Source organism: Homo sapiens, chromosome 21 (genome assembly GCF_000001405.40).
Source record: "Homo sapiens chromosome 21, GRCh38.p14 Primary Assembly".
Taxonomy (NCBI): Eukaryota; Metazoa; Chordata; class Mammalia; order Primates; family Hominidae; genus Homo; species Homo sapiens.
Genome location: NC_000021.9, coordinates 29696040 through 29718206, shown reverse-complemented (window position 1 = coordinate 29718206; position 22167 = coordinate 29696040). Strand labels below are relative to the sequence as shown.

The 22167-nt window shown below is 38.3% G+C and overlaps 1 protein-coding gene across 13 annotated transcripts in view, besides 1 other annotated feature; it reads left to right on the top strand.

Moving 5' to 3' along the window:
• Nucleotides 1–22167, top strand: part of GRIK1 (glutamate ionotropic receptor kainate type subunit 1) — a 403064-nt gene that overhangs the window by 221790 nt on the left and 159107 nt on the right. The window lies entirely within an intron of this gene.
• Nucleotides 21488–21674: a silencer, noted in NCBI's record as "fragment chr21:31068852-31069038 (GRCh37/hg19 assembly coordinates)". NCBI's record gives its function as "represses an EF-1alpha promoter that drives an FKBP-Casp9 reporter gene in an ReSE screen in both phorbol 12-myristate 13-acetate-treated (for megakaryocytic differentiation) and untreated K562 erythroleukemia cells {active_cell/tissue: K562 | K562(+PMA)}" and the evidence as "EXISTENCE:reporter gene assay evidence [ECO:0000049][PMID:32094911]".

Sequence of the window (22167 nt, the reverse complement as noted above, 5' to 3'; positions counted from 1 at the left end):
TCCATTATCATGCTGCTATGAAGAAATAACCAAGACTGAGTAATTTATAAAAAAGAGATTTAATTGACTTATAGTTTAGCATGGCTCAGGAGGCCTCAGGAAACTTACAATTATGGTGGAAGGGGCAGCAAACACATCCTTCTTCACATGGTGGCAGGAAGGAGAAGTACCAAGCAAAGGGGGAAATGTCCCTTATAAAACCATCAGATCTTGTGAGAACTCACTCACTAACATGATAACAGCATAGGGTAACCACCCCCATGATTCAATTATCTCCCACTGGGCCCCTCCCACAATACAAGGTAATTATGGGAACTAAAATTCGAGATGAGATTTGAGTGGGGACACAGCCAAACCATGTCATTCAGCCCTTTGCCCCTCCCAAATCTCATGTTCTCACATTTCAAAACATGATCATGCCTTTCCAACAGTCCCCCAAAGTCTTAGCTCATTCTGGCATTAACCCAAAAGTCCAAGTCCAAAGTCTTATCTGAAACAAGGCAAGTCCCTTCCAACTATGAGCCTGTGAAATCAAAAGCAAGTTAGTTGTTTCCTAGGTACAATTGGGGGTGTAGACATTGGGTAAATATACCAAATGAAAGAAATTGGCCAAAACAAAGGGGCCACAGGCCCCAAGCAAGTCCAAACTCCAATAAGGCAGTCATTAAACCTAAAAGTTCCAAAATGATCCCCTTTGACTCCTTGTTGCACATCTAGGTCATGCTGATGTAAAAGGTGGGCTCTCACAGCCTTGGATAACTTGCCCCTCTGGCTTTGCATGGTACAGTCCCCCTCCCAGCTGCTTTCATGGCTGGTGTTGAATGCCTGTGCCTTTTCCAGGCACATGGTGCAAGCTGTTGGTGGATCTATCATCCTGGGGTCTGGAGGATGGTGGCCCCCTTCTCACCTTTACTAGGGAGTGCTACAGTGGGGACTCTGTGTGGGGGCTCCAACCCTGTATTTCCCTTCCACACTGCCCTAGCAGAGATTCTCCATGAGGGGTCCACCCCTAGAATAGACTTCTGCCTGGATATCCAGACATTTTCATACATCCTCTGAAATCTAGGTGAAGGTTCCCAAACCTTCATTCTTGACATCTGTGCACCTACAGCCTCAACAACCTGTGTAAGCCACCAAGGCTTGGGGCTTGCACCCTCTGAAGCCATGACGTGAGCTGCACTTGGGCCCCTTTTAGCCACAGCTGAAACTGAAGCAGCTGGGACAGAGGGCACTATGTCCTGAGGCTGTACAGAGCGGGAGACCACAAAACCATTTCTCCCTCCTAGGCCTCCAGGCCTATGATGGGAGGGGCTACTGTGAAGGTCTCTGGCATGCCCTGGAGGCATTTTCCCCATTGTCTTGGTGATTAACATTCAGCTCCTCATTACTGATTCAAATTTCTGCAGTGGACTTGAATTTCTCTCCAGAAAATGAGTTTTTCTTTTCCATTGCATTGTCAGGCTACAAATTTTTCAAACTTTTATGCTCTGCTTCCTCTTGAGTGCTTTGCCACTTAGAAATTTTTTCTACCAGATACCCAAAACAATCTCTCTCAAGTTCAAAGTTCCATAGATCTCTAGGGCAGGAGCAAAATGCTGTCTCTTTGCTAGAGTATAGCAAGGATCACCTTTGTTCCAGTTCTCAAGAAGTTCCGCATCTCCACTTGTGACCAAGTCAGCCTGGACTTCATTGCCCACATTACTATCAGCATTTTGGTCAAAGCCATGCAACAAGTCTCTAGGAAGTTCCAAATTTTCCCACATCCTCCTGTCTCTGAGCCCTCTAAGTCTCTAGGAAGTTTCTAACTTTCCTACATTTTCCTGTTGTTTTCTAAGCCCTCCACACTGTTCCATTCTCTGCCTGTTATCCAGTCCCAAAGTTGCTTCCACATTTTTGGATATCTTTATAGCAGCACCCCACTGTGCCAGTACAAGTTTACTGCATTAATTCATTCTCATGCTGCCATGAAGAAATACCTGAGATGGGTAATTTATAATGAAAAGAGGTTTAATTGACTCACAGTGCAGCATGGTTGGGGAGGCCTCAGGAAACTTACAATCATGGTGGAAGGGGAAGCAAACATGTCCTTCTTCACATGGAGGCAGAAAGGAGAAGTGCCAAGCAAAGGGGGAAGAGTCCCTTATAAAACCATCAGATCTCATGAGAACCCATTCACTATCATGAGAACAGCTTAGGGGTAACCACCCCCATGATTCAATTATCTCCCACCTGGTCCCTCCCACCACACATAGGGATTATGGGAACTACAATTCATGATGAGATATGGGTGGGGACATAGCCAAACCATATCAACATCTATCTTGTAAAGTAATGTATTGTAAGGATTATAATAAGATAATACTACATTTAAAGAACTTAACATTGTGCTTGACATTTATAGAGTACCAGTTTATATTTTTAGAAATATTTTTAGTGCCTAAGCTACTCTTAGGTAGAAAGGGGTGTGTTGGGAAGCATTTGTAATTTTTCTACTTCACTATAGAAGTAGAATACGACATTCTAGATGGTCCAACATACATTGATGAGAAGGCTACTCTGTGATGTGACTATGGCCCTAACTCTCTAAGTCTAGTTCTTGGTAGGGTCAGCATTAGGGGGAGGCAAGCGATGTGAGCTACATGCAAGTGCAGTGTTGGATCCTGACTTCACTCACAATTGAGATATTTTGTTTCCCACACATTTTTGCATTAATTTGATTTAAATATTACATTAAAATATTACTTATCTTGGTTACTAAATATTTTGGCACAAGTTTAAATTGTACATCCAAGGTAAATGCCTCCTTGCCTCATCCTAGTCCCAGCCCTGGCCTCCTGTCTCTCCTCCTAGTACATTTAGAATGGTGTAAGCCCCTTTCCACCTTGAGCTGCCTTGCGTCAGCAGATTATGATAGTCCTAGGGGAAACTGCTAACTCATCAGACTGACCACCGGCAGTCACTAGTGAATCCCCATGTGCTATGAAGTTGAGGGCAATTGTAGCTCAAATTATGGTGCATAGTGTGAGCCAGTGTAACTCACACACATTCCTGAACAACCCTGAATTATGTAGCAATGGGAAGGGACTTCAACCCAATCCTATAGGGCATTTATGAGAGATAGGTTGGTTAGTGATCTTCAGTTCCCCAGATCATTTAAGAGTTCATCCAATATCATGCTACAATTCACTACTGCTTATCCTATGGGGAGCTGGACTCTGAATTCTAATGAAAATAATGAACTATCAACTAAATTCCATTCTGAAAGATTAGGTATTGGAAGAATATTGACACAATGCTTACAAAATGCTTTCAATCATTTAGCGTTATCATAACTCTGATTGCCCTCATTTAGTGTTATCATCCCCATTTAGTAAGTTAAAAAAATTGAGGAACAAAGAGATTGATTGATTTATAAAGAATCTCAAGGGAAATTAGAATCAAAGCTATAAAAAAGTATTTACAGCTAGAGGTAATTTTACAGCTGGGTTTTGGAATCCTTTCCCCAGCCCTTGCAATGACATTGCCTGAGGTGCTCTCTGATTTGCATCTTAGAAAGAATAAAACTTATCGCAGTGCATTCAGGCGGCACTACCCAGTCCTGCCTGGGTAGGCAGACTACTGGGTAGGTAGATATCCACCTACTCTTGGTGAAGCCAAAGATGTTCATACTGGTCAGGTTACAGGGTGACCTACTGTCCTGGTTTCAGCACCAAATGTCCTGCATCCCTGGAAAGCCACCCAGTCCCAGGTCAGTAACCCTCATTGCTAACCAGAACTGTCCTCCACATTGAAAATACACATTGTATTTCTTTTCTTGTTGCTTTTCCTGGTTAATATCTTTTTTGGGTGATTCACACAAATTACACTTTTTTAGTTTTATTATAGCATTTGATATTAAGATCCATCATTACCCTTAGTTAATCCTTTGGACTTAAGAGACACAACCTTAGATATACCAAAGACAATCATGGGAAGAGTGTGTAAAGAGCAAACTGTACCCCACTTGTCTGAAAAAAAAACCACAAAATATAATAGAGCAAAAATTTAAAGATACTCTAAACATATATTATGGAATTATAACTATAGAATAACCTGCTTAAAATACAGATTAGATCATGTTAATATTCTAGGAAAATCTCTGAGCTATTTCCCCACTGCTTCTCGCCCATTGAAACATACACTCATTTATTCATCCAGTTCATAAACATTAATTGATCACCTCATATATGCTATGCAGTATACAGTTGCTGAGACTATAAAGACAAGACAGTTCAGGCTTATAGCTCAGCAAGGGAGACTAATGTAAACAAATTAGTGCAATAAAAATTAAGAGGTGCTACACCAAAGACTGTACAGCTGAAGCAAAAAAAAACAAATGGCAGAGGAAAAGTTCAGCTGTATTTCCAGAAATATCTGTCCCAAATTAGTCAATGTGTTCCAGATTTCAAAGATCTTTTCTAGTGTTTTGCCTAGAATGTACTTTCTCCATTTGTGCCGTCTCAAAATTTCACACATCCTTCATAGCCAAGCTTAAAGAGTTTAGGAAGTGTATCTTAACCCCCAATCAAGATTTACTATTCAATTTGTCTAAAATTCCACAATTAGAGTTTATTTTATTATGGCATATTTATTAATGTATTTATGGTCCGTTACCCATTTCAAAAAACAAAGATTGTTTCCACATGCCATGCCTCAAGATAAATTCCAAATGCATTACAGCACTAAATATTTTTAAATCTGTGGAAAATAATAATATTAGGCAATATTTCTCTGATCTTAGAGCAGAGAATAATTTTATAGGCATTACAAGAATGAAAAAAATACAGAAAAATAAAATATCAATTACAACTATGGTTGTATTTAACAAAAATCCAAATCAAATTAGTTTAAACTAAATAGAGAATGTATTATATGGATATTAAGAAGCAAGGACAAGGATGTGGCTGGACCCTAGAAATAACAAGAAGGAGAGACCTGAATCCCATTAAGAATTTTTTTTTTAGATCTCTGCTGCTCTCTGCATCTCCTTCACTCTTATCACTGGATATAGCTCCCTCTATTTCTCTAATCAATATGATGAAAGGCAGTGTGCCGACAGCTGCTGAGCTTTAAGTCTGATGGCTTGGGTACCTGAAGAGAGACAGACGAATTTACTGCTGGTCCTCATACAAAAGTCCAGCAAGAGAAACATTAGCACATGTTGAAACACTCAGCTGTCAACATAGCATCACAAGGCAACTCTTATCTCAATGTGAACAATGGTATAGAAGCATGAGTGGGAAGAAAAAAAAAAAGTTTCCAAAAAGTGGTGGAGTAAATCTCTTCACTATGAGAAGATAGATTGAATTACATAAAACTATAAAAGTGTCATGATCAGAAAAAGAGGTCAAAAGAAGTTACAAGACATTACAAACTAGAAAAAGTATCTGCAACTGTAATTGGAAGATAGTTTCTTTCCTTAATGTATAAGTGCAAAAGAAGATAAATATAAATATTCAAAATGGGCAAGGCAAAGACTTCAGAACTAACAAAGAAGCAATCCAACGAAATACAATAAAATCATTGTGGAAAAACGTTCAGCTACATTAATAATCAATGTAATATGAATTTAAATAGCCATCAATTGCAAAGTTTATTCCTCAGAAGTTGATTTTTTTTATTTACAATACTTGGAAATTTAGAGAAATGAGTACTTTCATACACTCGTGGTAGGCATGTAAGTTGATGCAATATTTCTAGAAGACAATTAGGTGATACGCATCAAGATCCTTAAAAAGGAACATATTCTTCATAATATGTTATAATTTTATATAAAAGAACTAAGGAAATAAAGAGATGTACCAATACCATTTTATTCACAAGAATTTATTCATTGAAACGTTATTTTTATAGCAAAAAATTGGAAATGAATATAATGTCTGGCAATAGAGTTACCTAAATAAACTTTTGTGTTTTTAGGTGGAATATTGTACATCACTAAAATTATATTTGAGTAAATATTAAATAACATGGAAAATGCCATTAAGAAAAAAACACAAAATACAACATTTTATATGCAGTATGATTCCAGGACCTATATATATGTGTGTGTGTGTGTGTGTGTGTGTGTGTGTGTGTGTGTGTATGTATGTATACATATACTTATATACGTATACACACACACATATTTATAAATACACATAGCAAAAAAGGATTGGAAGAAAATACACCCAAATCTTGATATCAGTAACTCTCTAGGTACTAGAATTGTAGATGATTTTTTTCTCCTTTTTTCTTTATTTTCAAAAAAGAAAAATTTCACAAGTTTTCTTTTTATTTTCAGTAACATACTTGAGCTACTTTGTTTTTCATTAGAAAAAAATTACAAAATCTTTAAACTTTTGAAGTTTAAAAATACGTCTAACTTTTGAGTCAATGAGGAAATAATGTGTGCATTTAAAAATATCTGTAAAATAAAAATGTAAATACCCACAATAAAATGTGTGAAATAAGCCAGAGTTACATAGAGCAGTAAACCTACAAACCCAATGCTTTAACAAATTTTTTTAAAGTGTAAATACATTGGTACATTTCAACAGCTAAAATGACAGAAAGTATAGATTGCATGGAAGCAGAGACCCATAAAAGTCACATTGATACTATTTTCTGCTAATCTCTCAAAAAGACAAACAGATTCCTTGGTGTCTATTGTAAGGGAAGGGGTTACTGATTCCTCATACTAGATATTTATCTTGTTATTGTCTGGAAAAATACAGTCATGTCTATATTCTGGAAAAATGCATTCTTAGGCAATTTTGTCATGCAAACATCATAGCTTATTACACATGTAGGCTATATGGTATAGCCTACTGCTCCTAGGCTGCAAACCTGTGCAGTATGCTACTGTGCTGAATACTTTTAGCAACTGTAACACAATGGTATTTATATATCCAAATATAGAAAAGGTACAATAAAAATATGGCATTATAATCCTATAGGATAACCTTCATATATACAGTCTATCATTGACCAAAATAATCGTTATATGATGTGTGACTGTAATATGAAAATGAATATGCTTGATGTTCTACCTCATGTTTTAAGAAGTTTTGAGTTAAAAAAACACTGAAATAACTATATAATAGCTTAAGCATTTAATTCAAGTAGTTAGAAATATATCAAGAAATATTAAATATGAGTAAATAAGGAGAAACTCAAAACAAGAATCAAAACCAAATAAGTGAATTAAAAATCAAAATAGGAAGGCGACAATCCAAGAATGGGTTACTCTTTAAATTTTAAAGCAGATAAAACTGCTGGAAGGAAAGAAGAAAGGGAAGGAGGGTGGTTGGTGGGAGGAGGGAGAGAGGGAGGGAGGGAGAGAAAAGGAAGGAAGGAAGGAAGGAAGGAAGGAAGGAAGGAAGGAAGGAAGGAAGGAGGGAGGGAGGGAGGGAGGGACGGACGGAGGGAGGGAAAGGCAAAAGTTGAAATAAGAAAAATATAACAATAATGGTAGCATAACAATTTAAATTCCAATGATAATTGTTATATAATATGATTTAAATAAGTATATGAAAAATAATTAAAAATAGTCATTGAAATAGATAATAGTCTAAAATAAATAATAATTAAAATTGTGTCATTGAAATAGGTAACAGTCTAAAACAAATTCTTGACATCTACTCAAAAATATCAATAACTAAGGAAAAATGTTTTTCATTTTATCGAAGAACTCTTGACAGAAGCATTCAGAGCTACACAGTCACACTGATTAGTTTTTTTAAGCTGAATGGAATTTCTACACTTTTCCAGGACAGGATAGAAAACTATCCTTTACATTTTATTAAGCTTAGATAACCTAATGACAAAATTGACAAGGCCAATACACAAAATAAGAAAACTTATATACAAATCTAATTTATTAATAAGTGCAAAATGCTACATAAAATATCAACAAATCACATTCAGCAACATATTGAAAGAAAAACTCTCACTGATCAAATACAACTTATCCCAGAATTGCCAGGATGAGTTAATATAAAGAATAGTATTCATATGAAATAACTTATTAGAAGGGCAAATTGAACTCTGAAAAATATTTAATAAAATTCAATGCATATTGAGATATGAGTATAAATAATATTTATTTTAATTTGCATTTATTGTATTATATTAAATTAATAATATAGCATTTATTTCAATCTGCCTTCCAAACCATAAATAATGGTTTAATAGTACAGGCTTTTCTATTTAAATTAAGAACAAAATAAGATGACCCATTCTCATTTTCTTACTCTGAAAATTCTAACCAATGCAATAAGCAAAACAGAAATAATGAATATTTGAAGAGTATTACATTATGAGAAAACTCAAAATAATAAAGAGGAAATTAAAGTATTTCATAATGTGAGAAGGTGAGCCAATGTAAATAGACACACACATAAAATCAAGTTAATAACAAAAAAAATTATAAAAGATCAAACTCAACTGTGAAAAAAACCTGCAAAATACCTAGGAAAAAATATTGTATGATTTGTTTTTGAAAACTATAAAATAAAGCTAATAAATATAAATATCCTGATATAAATATAAATGTGCCCATGTTCTTAGATATGAAGATGGAATTTAAAAAAATATTTCCCCATATATTTATAAGTTTAATGATATTCTCAACAAAATTCCAATGAATAAGCAAATCTTTTCAAGATTACCTGAGGTCAGGAGTTCGAGACCAGCCTGGCCAACATGGTGAAACCCCATCTCTACTAAAAACACAAAAATTAGCCGGGCATGGTGGCGGGCACCTGTAATCCCAGCTACTTGGGATGCTGAGACAGGAGAATTGCTTGAGCCCGGGAGACGGAGGTTTCAGTGAGTTGAGATTGCACCACGGCACTCCAATCTGGGCAACAGAGCTAGACTCTGTCTCAAAAAAAAAAAAAAAAAAAAGAAGAAGAGTAAATGGATCCTATAGAAAGTGTCATTTATTTACCAGCAAGTTTTAGAACCAGTATTAACACAATGTGATGCTACTATACAGATGGATCAATGGAACAGAAGAGTCCAGAAATTAAATTATATGACAATTATTATGTCACAAAGGTGGTATAACAGATCAGTAAGAAATTATAGACATATATGTGTGTAGGTGTATGCATATATATAAAATTATAAACAGCATGTGGTATACAGTTATATATTGCATATATAATTGTACTAGCTTTTCTTCTAATACCACACGTCAAGATATTTCAAATGGATTAAATGAACTAAATTATGAAAACACAAAAATCTTGTTAAAAACCCAATAGCAATTATATTTATCAATTATGTGGGCAGAGGAGAAATTTTGAATTCCAACAGTCCCACATAGGCTAGATTCTGTTACTGTAACAAATAATTCTTCCAAAAAAAATAAAAATTAAAAAATTTTAAAAAGAGGATTAAAATTGAGGCTTAAAAGATGGATTTTTGCTGAAATGGCTGTAGTGAGTCTGTTGCAGGCTCTGCTCCAACGTCCCAGGCTGAAAGAGCAGTCACTGGGCAGAGGGAAACAGAAGAGAGGTGTGGGAATTCTCTCACTAGCAATGAAGTCCTCTGTCCAGGAAGTGACACCAGAGACTTCTGCTCACAAGTCATGGAACAGAGCCAGTCACACAGCCCCAACCAACCCCATGTTAGGTACAATCCACGCATGTATTCCGAAGGGAAAGAACCGGAAATAGTAACAACTACTATGAATGCTTCATGTTTCAGGAAAAAATTAATGTATTTGTAATTATAAATGTAAACATTTCTCTGCCCAAAAATCTAATCAACATTAAAGCTAAATAATAAACTGAGAAAACATTTGCAATAAAAAATACTGACCATTTTATATCATTATGAGTAAGAAAGTAATGATATCTCAGGATATAAAAAAGGCAAAAGACAGGAGGAACAAGTGATTTAAAATTACAGAGGTATAAATAGGTAGCAAATAAGTTTTAAAATTAAACTACTCAGTAATCAAACGGATGCAACTTGAAGCAATAATAAATATTTTCTATAATACATTGACCTAAAATCATACAGATTCTGAGGGAGGTTGCAATTCAGTTGGGCATTTCTACATGGTGGATGGATGCACATATAAATTGCTCAGCCTTCACTTCTGCAGGTCCCTGTAGCATTACATAATAAAAGCCTAAACTGTTTATACCTTATGTTTCGTAATTACAAGACATTTTACTCTCTCCAAGTAAAAACACGAAAAGTGCTTAATGTCAATCATAATAGAATGTATAACAGTGAAGAACTGACAACAACTTACCCAAAAAAGTGGGGTGGATTAAGAAAACTGTGACATATCCAGACAATGAAATATTAAATAGCCATTGAAAAGGTGGATTATGTTCAGGAAGAGGTACCTATGTGAAAATGACAGGAGAAAATAGGATAGAGTCAGGCCAGGCGCGGTGGTTTACGCCTGTAATCCCAGCACTTTGGGAGGCCGAGGCAGCTCAGGAGCTAAGAGACCAGCCTGGCCAACATGGTGAAACCCTGTCTCTACTAAAAATACAAAATTAGCTGGGTGTGGTGGCGAACGCCTGTAGGCCCAACTACTCGGGAGGCTGAGGCAGGAGAATCACTGGAACCCAGGAGGCAGAGGTTGCAGTGAGCTGAGGTAGTGCCATTGCACTCCAGCCTTTGCAATATGAGTGAAACACTGTCTCAAAAGAAAGAAAGAAGGAAACAAACAAAGAGAAAGAGAGAGGGAGGGAGGGAGGGAGGGAGGGAGGGAGGGAGGGAGGGAGGAAGGGAAAGAAAGAAAGAAAGCCGGATAGAGTCATCTTAACTATTTCAGAGAAAATTCAGGTATGTGTAGGAAAAGAATAGAAGGAAATTCACCAAACTGTTAATAGTGATTGTTTCACAGTGTTATGGTTGTGTCTTGTTTTTTCCCCTTTCTTTCAATGTATTACCCAATTTATAGTTGTATGTGTGCTTTTAAAATAAAATTATTTAGAATAAAAAATGTCTCCACACACATCAGACACACCAGAAAGTAAAATGCCTGGAATAGCCCGGGCGCGGTGGCTCACGCCTGTAATCCCAGCACTTCGGGAGGCCGAGGAGGGCGGATCACGAGGTCAGGAGATCAGGACCATCCTGCCTAACATGGTGAAACCCTGTCTCTACTAAAAATACAAAACATTAGCAGGGCGCGGTGGCGGGCACCTGTAGTCCAAGCTACTTTGGAGGCCGAGGCAGGAGAATGGCGTGAACCCGGGAGGCGGAGCTTGCAGTGAGCTGAGATCTCACCACTGCACTCCAGCCTGGGCAACAGAGCGAGACTCCGCCTCAAAAAAAAAAATGCCTTGAATATCCATTGTGGGAGTTCACAGAGTGCAGCACATTTAAAAATACGTGCATTGAGCAGTCAAGTGGACTTTCAGATGTTACTACTTTAAAAATAAATGGTGTGTATTTCCAAAAGTTCTTATTTGAGGCATTCCTAACACAGATCCCTCTGTGATATGATGTTTAACTGTCCTTTATTTTCAATCAACCAGAAGCTTTCTTGGATATCTGTATTAGTCAAGCTTATCTCTCTTCATCTGGGACCTAACTACTTCACAAAGAAATTTTCTCTGAGAAATAACTTTCATCGAACTCATTCATTATTCATGTCAATGCAGACTCTCAGTTCATTTTAAAGTGTTGGATCTTAGAATGAAACTGAGAGCAATCTAGGAAGGTATTAGTAACAGAACTACCTTCTGTATTCTGGGGTAACTTATGAACAATAGTAAATACAGAGTTTCAATCAGACACTTTAAAGGAAAAGTGTCGTGGTAAATGTGTAAATGCTTGCATCTGAGATGCTGTCAGCTTTTTAGATGTTCTACAGCACTGTTGTTGCCTAGTGTGTATCATTTTGTACAATTATTTAAATCAGTAAATGAAAAAGTTATTAAAAGGATGGATTTTTTAAATTTTCAAATGCTGAAACAGAAATATACAGAGATGTTTTAAAAACCAAATGGAAAATATTAAGGAAGAAAAAGAAGAGGCCACGCATGGTGGCTCATGCCTGTAATCCCAGCGCTTTGGGAGGCCGAGGCGGACAGATCATCTGAGGTCAGGAGTTTGAGACCAGCCTGGCCAACATGGCAAAACCCCATCTCCACTAAAAATACAAAAACTAGCCGGGTGTGGTGGCACACGCCTGTAGTACCAGCTACTCAGGAGGCTGAGGCAGGAGAATCGCTTGAACCCGGGAGCCAGAGGTTGCAGCGAGCCGAGACTGCATCACTGCAATGCAGCCTGGGTGACAGAGCAAAACTCCATCTCACAAAAAAAAAAAAAAAAGAAAAGAAAAGAAAGAAAAAAATATAGCAAATGCATTTTAAATATTTACATTAAATGTCATGGACATGCACCTTACCTGCAACATATCTGTGAGATACGATTGATTAAAAGATGCTGTTTTTCATAGACATACAGACCATCTTAATGCTTAGGTATTTTTGTAAATGAAAAGATGAGGTAAGATTTGATAGTATAAATCTGATATGAATTAGATACAAAGTAGTGTCATAATTAGAGGTTTTATTTCTGATCAAGAACCTGATGTCTAACTTTTCATTAAAATTAGCACAAGAACAATATTTAAGACTGCAAATTATTTTAGTCAGTCCCAAAGAGAGTAGATCTACAGATCAAACTTTTCAAAAAGTGTTTCTTAAGACAACAATTCCACTGCATGTCACGGTTACAAGGAAAACTGTCCTATCATCAAATGAATTTGGGGGATACTGAGTTAAACACTCAAATTGTTTTCTTTGCTGCAGGACTTCTGAGAGACAAATGTCATTGTGTAGTGTGAATTTTTAAGAAGGATGAAATGAAGCAGTGCCTCCCAAGCATATTTGACCACTAAACTCTCTATGTATAAGATCTCATGGGCAACATATACGCACACACATCGGTATATACTGCTCTGTGGGAGCTGTGAGCCTCCATTTATTTTGGCTTCAAACATCAGTTCTAATCTTTAACAGCAATATCTTCTTCTCAGCAAGAAATTTCAGGTTGAGAAACAACAGAAATACAGAAGAAGAAAACTAGAAAATTGGGATGCAACACATAATATAGCTTCCCTGGAACCACAGGTTGTGAACTTGTCTTATTCCATTCATTTAATTAATAAGGAGATAAATAGAATCATGAGCTCTTCAGCATGAATATGAGTCATTTAAATGAGATGTTAAAAGCTAAAACTATAACTGCTGTCAAGAGACATTAAAGTGATCACAGAGTTTCATAAGAATAAAAGTTTGGCATGAATTTTTGGCAATATTCCTGGTTCTTGCCTGAAATCTGCTGTTGAACAGGAGATGAGCCATACCTTCATGATGTTAAGGGGCTGGCAGCCTGATGAAAAGTATGCTTTGAAAGTGCTTGGGGACAATGGGCCGTGATTGTTGGGAGAGAGTGAGAAATCACTGCTAAAAAGGCAGTAATGGAAAAAGTCAGGCAGTCTCACTACAGACCTCAATAACCACCCTCCATCTTTCCTACGTATCTCAAAGGCCTCTCTCTTGGCAGAACAAACTACTTTGTGAGGCATAGTGTTAAGGCACAAGAAGGAGAGTAAGTTCAACTGAAGGACCATTTACTGGGGACAACATACTATGACCAAATCATTGCATTTAGCTCTGAAGGAGAAGGCACATTTCAATAAACATCTGTCCTGATCTTCAAGGAACAGGCAGAGCAGGATGTAGGCTTATTTTACACCAAAATAAATTCCTTGAAATATGTAGTAGATTTTATGGTTACCAAAAGAAAGGGAGAGTTCACCTCTGGCTGGAGGAATCAGGAAAGATTCCACATAGGAGGAGACAAAAAGCAGGCTTTTTGCTTTATTGATAGAATAATTGACTACTATACCTACTTTCTTTTTCTGTACTCTACACCAGTAATGCAGTATATCCCAAAAGACTGGAAGCTCTGCTGAGGGCAGGAACCAAGCATCTTTCATCTTTGTATTTTCCACTCCTCCTAGCATAGTCTTAGATATTAATAGATGTCTAATAATGTTTTATGAGTTAAACTGAGTGTTGAATAACACTGGAATAAGAGTAACTTTGGCTTTGGGTAATTTATAGTGCAACTCAAATTTATGAAGGAAAATTACTAATAGTATTTACTAAACTGCCCATAATCCACGGCCTTTCTCTTACTAGCTACCCTCTGAAGTACATCCATAATTCCTTGCTCCATATTTTCTTATCCCTCAAAGGCCATTCCTAGTGAATTAATGCAAATCTCTTTAAGGCATCAAAGAGTGAGTCTGGATGTGGTTATTGTCTCAACGGTGACATCAAACCCCATTCTCCCCCTCTAAAGGATACTAATACCTGAAGACACTTATAGCAGACTGAATTAGAGCCAGTTTCCAGTTGAAGCTGTCCTTGTCCTTAACCACAGCTCTGTTCTTGGCTGGGACTTTCTGAAAGGTAAAAATCCAATCTCTTCTGTCCATTCACTTTCCATCAGGTCAAGAAACACCTGCTTCCCATCCAAATCCATCTAGCATGGGATCTTTACCAAGAATGTTTTGAGCTCCAAAGATAAAACAAAAATACGAAAGCTGAGTGAGGAAGACAGCATTTATCTAAGGGAATCTTAGAATTTAAATCTGTAGCCTTGGAATTAAAGGTGCAGTAAATATAGGCCTATAGTAAATTGCTTATGATGTAATCAACTAGAATTATGGATGTGGCAATAGAGAGGCTATAGAATATTGTATATTTAAGGAGCAGCTATCAGCAAAGGAATAGATCAAATTGCCATCTTGTTTTCTGTTGATAGCTTCTGGAATGGTTATTATTCCACAGGAATGCAAAACAGGAGTCAACACTACAAACGCTTTCCATGTCTTGATTGTCAGCTAATGGTTTTACCTTTCTTCCTGGATGACCTCACAGATTGTCACAACAGGCACACAGAAGTTAGTTAAGGGAGCAAGCGAGCTTTGTTAGAATACATATAGTATCTTGGCCCTGTCACATTCAGAATAGGAAAATATCATAAACATAAAAACTCAATGTGTTGTACAGTACAACTATGTGCCATATTTGCAAAATCATGCTAGAGAGTTAAAAATTGCTATTTGAAGAACTGAATAAAATAACATTTCACAAACAGGAAAGAAATACAGTAATTAAAAGTGACCAATATGAAAACTTTCTGAAGACAATTGAGATGCTGCATTAGTTTCCTGTGTCTATCATCACAAATTACCACCAACAGTGGCTTAAAACGACAGAAGTTTACTCTCTCACAGATCCCCAGAGGCCAGAAGTCTGAAATCTGGGTATTGGCAGGGTCTTATTTTCTCTGAAGGCTCTGGGAGAAATTCATTTATTTGCTTCCTCCAGCTTCTGGTGGCTTCAGTCATTCCTTGGCTTCTGGCTGCATCACTCCAGTCTCTGTCTGTTTTTGTTTGTTTTCTTGTTTGTTTTTTGAGATGGAGTCTCATTCTGTCACCCAGGCTGGAGTGCAGTGGTGCGATCTCGGCTCACTGCAACCTCCGCCTCTCAAGTTCAAGCGATTCTCCTGCCTCAGCTTCCTGAGTGGCTGGGATTACAGGTGCGTGCCACCATGCTTGGCTAATTTTTGTATTTTAATAGAGATGGGATTTTGCCATGTTGACCAGTCTGGTCTCAAACTCCTGACCTCAAGTGACCCATCTGCCTCTTTAAATCTACACTTACTCCTGGGTGATGCCATTCAGTCTCATGGCTTTAAATGCCACCTTTATGGTGGTGACTCCCAAATTTCTATCTCTAGGCCCAACCTCTCTGCCATAAGATCCAGATTGATATATCTAACTTCACAGCTGGCCTCTCCACTTGGACTTTTTTTTAAAAAAAACTTCCATTTTAAGTTCAGGGGTACATGCACAGTTTTGTACATAGGTAAATATGTGTCATGGTGGGTTGCTGTGCAGATAATTTCATCACCCAAGTATTAAGCCTAGTACCCATTAGTTATTTTTCTTGATCCTCTCCCTCCTCCCACCCTTTGTCCTCCAATAGGCCCCAATGTGTGTTGTTCCCCTCTATGTGTCCATGTGTTCCCATCATTTGGCTCCCACTTATACATGAGAACACGTGGTCTTTGGTTTTCTGTTCCTGCATCAGTTTGCTAAGGATGATGGCTTCACTTGGACTTCTAATAGGCACCACAAAAGAATCATGTCCCAAGTCAAGTACCTCCTGCATCGTTCCTCGTCTTGGTCAATGGCAATTTCAAGCCAAAAACCTGATGTTATCCTCAACTCCCTTCCTCTTACTTATGCATCATCAGCAAATCCTGCCGAAGTCCTTCAGATTTTATCTAGAATTCAACCACTTTTTGTCACATCCCAATTCCACTAATTTGTACAAAGCCATCATCATCTCTCACCTGGATTACTGAAATAGACTCTTACGGCAAGAGTGTTATTGCAACATCTCCAAGGGCAGATCTCCCTGTGCTTTGTTCTTGCCCTTCTCCTCCCTTCAGTCTATTCTTAATACAAAAGTCAGCTTGATTCTCTTGAAATATGTCATATCATTTCACTCCTCTGCTCAAAGATGGCCAGTGGTTTCCCATCTCACCCAGAACAAAACCACAGCCCTGTGATGGCCCTTAAGGCCCTCTGTGATCTGCTCCAATCCACCCATCACTTCTCTGAGCTCGTCTTCTACCAGTCCAAGCCCAGCTCACCCGACTTCAGCCTCACTCTTCCTCAAAAATAGCATCAGGCTGCTCCCACCTTAGACATTATATTTCCCCTGGCTGTAACGCTCTTCTCCCAGTATCTTCAGAGTGGTTTTCTCATTATCTTTAGGCTTTTGCTCAAAAGTGCCCTCCCAGTAAGCACTTTTCTCACCTCTCACTCTGACATGTCAATGCCTGTCTTCCTGTTCATGACCAATTCCCCTTCTAAAATAAAAGCTCCAAAAGTCAGATGCGTATCTGTTGCTCACTGGCACATCCCAGTGCCTCACACAGTATCTGTCTAGGCATCTTACAAATAAATGAGGAAATAAATGAACAAATCATTGGATGAGCGAGTTATTCAGTAGAATCATGGACATAATATATATAACCATGAATTGAAGTAGAACAACAACAACAACTAAATATAGGTGGATTTTAATTCTATTGCATTTCTGAAATGGTTATCGTTGGAATATATTTACCATTACAAGGTAAGTTGAGTCAGAACAATATATTCCTTTGAGAGGAATAAGATAGAAAACCATTATTTTCCTGTGTTTTTTTTGTTTGTTTTTTCCATCATTAAATGAGATGGATTCTCTGCCACAATGAAACATTGTCTGAAATTCCTTTTGGGAAGAAGAGGGTAAATTTAATACTTTCACTAATCTCTCAGCACAGGCTTAATCTAGAGACAGATGGAATCAGTAGGCAGCAGTGGAATTGCCTCCCTTTAAGGTTCTTACCCACAACAATGGCTTGATTTCCACCATGTTACACTGAGTTGATTCGGATAGCTCCCTGTTCCATGGAAACAGTGATTGAAAAGCAGGTTAGGAAGTATCCTTGGAACCTAAAAAAAAAGTCAATCAGTGAGACCTAGAGCCAGGCATGGTTTTTTTCATATTAAGATTGCTGAATTCCACCCCTTTGACATTCTGATTCTCTCCATATAATGTGGGATTAAGGGAAAGTTTGGAAGCCATTGCCGTGGGTTTACCTTGGGTGTCTTCACGAATAGCACATTATTGACCTTAGCCTTCTCTAAGTGTTACCCTTTGCCTACAATGATTATGTTGTTGACCCAGCAGTTGTAGAGTTGTGATTCAGAACAATTCTCCTGTAAGTCTAGATGGAATTATGTGGCACAACCCAACATCCTTCATGGCAACCCTTCATTGCACCCATCATCCCCCCTTAAAGGCCACCTGCCAGGTGTACAGGATGTTGCCAGCTGTGGCTTCCATCTGTGTTTAGGTAGTCACAAAACACAACTGCCTACGTCCTCGCTGCACTTCACTGGTTCAAGAGTCTACCCAAAACAGACAGAAATGCTCCTGTGGTGACGGAACTCTGCTGTCTAAACCAAGATTTCAAGTGAATTCCTCTTGGCTTATCTTAAATTACTGCGCTGTAAAGTCAGAATCTTGTTAGAAGAGAATATTACTTGAATATATGTGAGTTCCTTTAAAATTATTTTCAATTTCAAAGCCCTTGGGAGAAAAAAAAGAAGATGTTGGCTGGGCACGGTGGCTCACGCCTGTAATCCCAACACTTTGGGAGGCCAAGGTGGGCAGATTACCTGAGGTCAGGAGTTCAAGACCAGCCTGACCAACATGCCGAAACCCTCTCTGTACTAAAAATACAAAAATTAGCTGGGTGTGGTGGTGCTTGCCTGTAATCCCAGCTACTAGGGAGGCTGAGGCAGGAGAATTTCTTGAACCCGGGAGCTGGAGGTTGCAGTGAGCCGAGATTGCGCCAATGCACTCCAGCCTGGGTGACAGTGCGAGACTCCATCTCAAAAAAAAAAAAAAGATGCTGATAAATGTACTAGTCTATGCTAGGTTTGCTGTAAAAACAAACACAAAAAAACAAACAAACAAAAAAGACCATAGACTGGGTGGCTTAAACAACAGACACTTAATTTCTCTCAGTTCTGGAGGCTGGAAGTCCAAGATGGAGGTGTCGGCAGGTTTGGTTTCTCCAGAGGCCTCTCTCCATGGCTTGCAGATGGCCTCCTTCTTGCTTGGCCCTCACATGGCCTTTCCTCTGTGTGCACAAGTCCCTGGTATATCTGTGTGTCCAGATTTTCCCTTCTTATAAGGCCCAGTCAGAGTGGTTTAAGGCCTACCCTAGCCGCCTCATTGCAACCTAGTCACTGTTTTAAAGACACTATTTCTAAATACAGTCACATTTTGAGGATCCAGAGGTGAGGCCTGCAACATATAAATTTGAGGGAGGATGCAATTCAGTCCATAACAGTGACTTACCAAGAAAGCAAGTCGCTTCTGAGTTTCAAAGCTACTCCAGAATGTAGGCACAGGCATTATTGTCTCATACCCTTTGTTTAGTGACCATATGTGGCACCTTGTCTCAGGTGAGGGAACACAGAGTATGAAGGACAGACCAGTTTAGCATCAGCATTATTTGTACCAACATCTATGCTTCCCAGAAAAGTACAGTGGGAGCAATCAGGACAAAGTCCTCATAGGTAAATCCTAAATACGAACGTGTATTAATAAAAAAAGCATTAATTTTTCAGAATTCTTATCTATTCTGGTGTTTACAAGCAGTATGATTTTACCCTTATCATTTTAAATGGCACAAATATTCACATAAGACAGACTCATTACTCAAAGAAAAAGCCCAACTTCTTTCACTTTCCAACCCTTTGCTTCGACAATGGTGGGTGAGGTGGAGAAGAGGCTGGGGAGGTGGATATTAAGCATGCACCTTGACCGTTGATCAAGCTTCCTAATGATGATCAGACAAAGGATTACTGCCCAACCATTTCCAGTCTATAAAGACTGGCAGGTGATCTGTACTGACTCAAACTGATCTACGACATAGACATGATAAAAAAATAGTTTAACAATACTTCTCATGCTTCAGGTACACACGAGCAATGAAAGAGAACATGGACAACCCAGGCCTGCCGATTTTGAGGTTTCTCACCCTCCTGTGTTCCATCTGTCATGCACTACTTCTCTCAAGAATTATAGCAGAATGAAAAAGCTTGTTCTTCATCCTGAGCTCTCAGTCCTGCCTTCTCCCTTCACCCACTGCCCTGGCTTGGGAAATTTCAAAAATACAAGGGGAGGGGACAACTTTGCCTCTCTTCCTTGAGCCTAAGCTAGATTTTTATTTCAATTTCCTAACCCTTCCATGGTCCACATCATTGTTAGGAGTAGAAGTCAGCTAAGCTCAAATGAGAGACAGAGAGAGGAAGAGGAACAGAGGGATGAAAAAGGTAGGGATTTCTCATCTCAAACCAATGGGCCTCCAAATGAATGAGGCCAGAGGTTCACAACATGAAGACCCCTAAAGCCTTCAGACGTCTCATTGACAGCTCACACTCACAATTATTATACAAAAGAAGTAAAAAGGGAGGAAGGGAGGAATGGAGGAAGGGAGGGAGACAGAGAGAGAGAAAGAAAGGGAGAAGGAAAGAAAGAAGGAAAGAAAGAAAGAGAAAGAAAGAAAGAGACAGAGAGAAAGAAAGAAAGGAAGAAAGAAAAAAGAAAGAAAGAAAGAAAGAGAGAGAGAGAGAAAGAAAGAAAGAAAAGAGAAAGGAAAGGAAAAGAAAGGAAAAAAAGAGAGGGAAAGAGAGAACAAGAAGGAGAGAAGGAAAGACCGAAGGAGGAAATTATGCAAGGGCCCCAACGTGTGTGCCCCTTTATTCTGCTTATTAAAGACTCTACATCTCGTTTTGTTGTATCTGAAGCTATGGGGAGGAGAAGGAGGGAGGAAGTGGCTGATCGTTAAACAGTCTGCCCACATGTGAGGTAATGGTCTGGCTCCTATTAATAACTTTCTCCTGTTTCTGTCAGATCTCACTTTTTTGGTACATCTCCAGCTTTCTATTTACCTCATACCACAGTAGATTTTTCGCATTTATCCGCAACCCTCTCTTGAAGAAAGAGAGTGTGATGGGGTCTTGAGCTAATGACACCATTCATAATGCCTGTTTGATGAAAAAATGAAAAAAAAATTGCTCTGAAAGTGACAAAACAGTTCACCTACACACTACCCAAGCACATAATGAAAACACTTGTAATTCCCTTAAACCCAGGTTCATTTGGCTTTATGTGATAGACAACTACATAGCAAAAGAATAATTTTGAGGCAAGTAGTCAGTTCACCAGTTGGTGCCAACTCCTCTTTTTATTTCCATTATCCAGGTACGATAATAAAAAAAACTTATTTCTAGGGAATTTTTGAGTTTTCAGGGCACTTTGATTACATTTTCTCATTTGCTTTATAGAGCAATTCTCCAAGGGAAGCAAGACAACACTATTAGCTCACATGTATGAGACAAAGAACAACAGAAATAACTTGATGAAATGAAAACATTTACATTTTTTGGACATTCAGACAACTGAGTCAGTCCCAGACAAGACTGTGATTTTGAATAAGCAGGATGTAATGTGTAATCTTCTTGTTCACTTTTTCATTTATAAAAATGGAAAAAAACCCTCCTGCCTTGAATGTTATAAAGTGTAATTAAACATATGTAAAAGAGCTATTTCATAATAATTTTCTTTCTGATACTTAAAAATCCTTCTCAAAGAGGAAGTAGGTAGATCAGGTTTCAAAATTCAGAATTTCTGTTTCCTATTCAGGTATTTGTTTCCTCCAAGCAGCCTACCCTGCACAGATTAATGGTGCTCACATCCATGCCAGTGATTGACTTTTCCCCTAAATACCTGCAGCCTGAACGTCCTAAAGATGCCTTGGTCTCCCCAAGGATGCTGATTCTGAGTAAGACACAGTCTCTCTACATGCGGGCTCTCCCTGTGGGGCTGAGGAGACAGACAAGTAAACAAGTCATTGTTCATAATCACTGTGGAAGCCCTATCGCCAGGCAGCCCTCTGTATGGGTCACCTAGATGGTGGCAGTAAGACGGACTTATGTCCACCTTCTGGTGACCAAGTGTCTTTTGCATCATCTTGTCACCTCACTGTTGAGCATCCACCAACAGTTCTGAGAGAAACTGAAAATCAACTCCAGAGTCTCTCCCTACCATTGTCTGACAAAAGTAAAACACAAAATTCACTTGAACAGCAACATTTTTCCTTACGTTCATTTCAAATAAAGGTCTTAAATGGCTCCTTAGGTAAAGGTTAACATTACCAAATAACTCTGTCATGTAATTTTCCTTCTTTTAATTTCAGTTTTTGTGGGTACATAGTAGGTGTATTGTCATACAATTTTCAACTATGATTTCTCAGAAACCAGGGAAATTATCTATACCTGAATGTCCCATATTATCAGTCTACAAAAGCCCGAAATATTTCCAAAAGGAGCCAAAATAATTCACTATAAACCATCTTAGCTTTCACAACCCAACACTGTAGTTAGTTATTTAATAAAGTCATTTCAGCAGGAACATTACAGATGTGTATTTGTTTATTGCATTTTTTTCA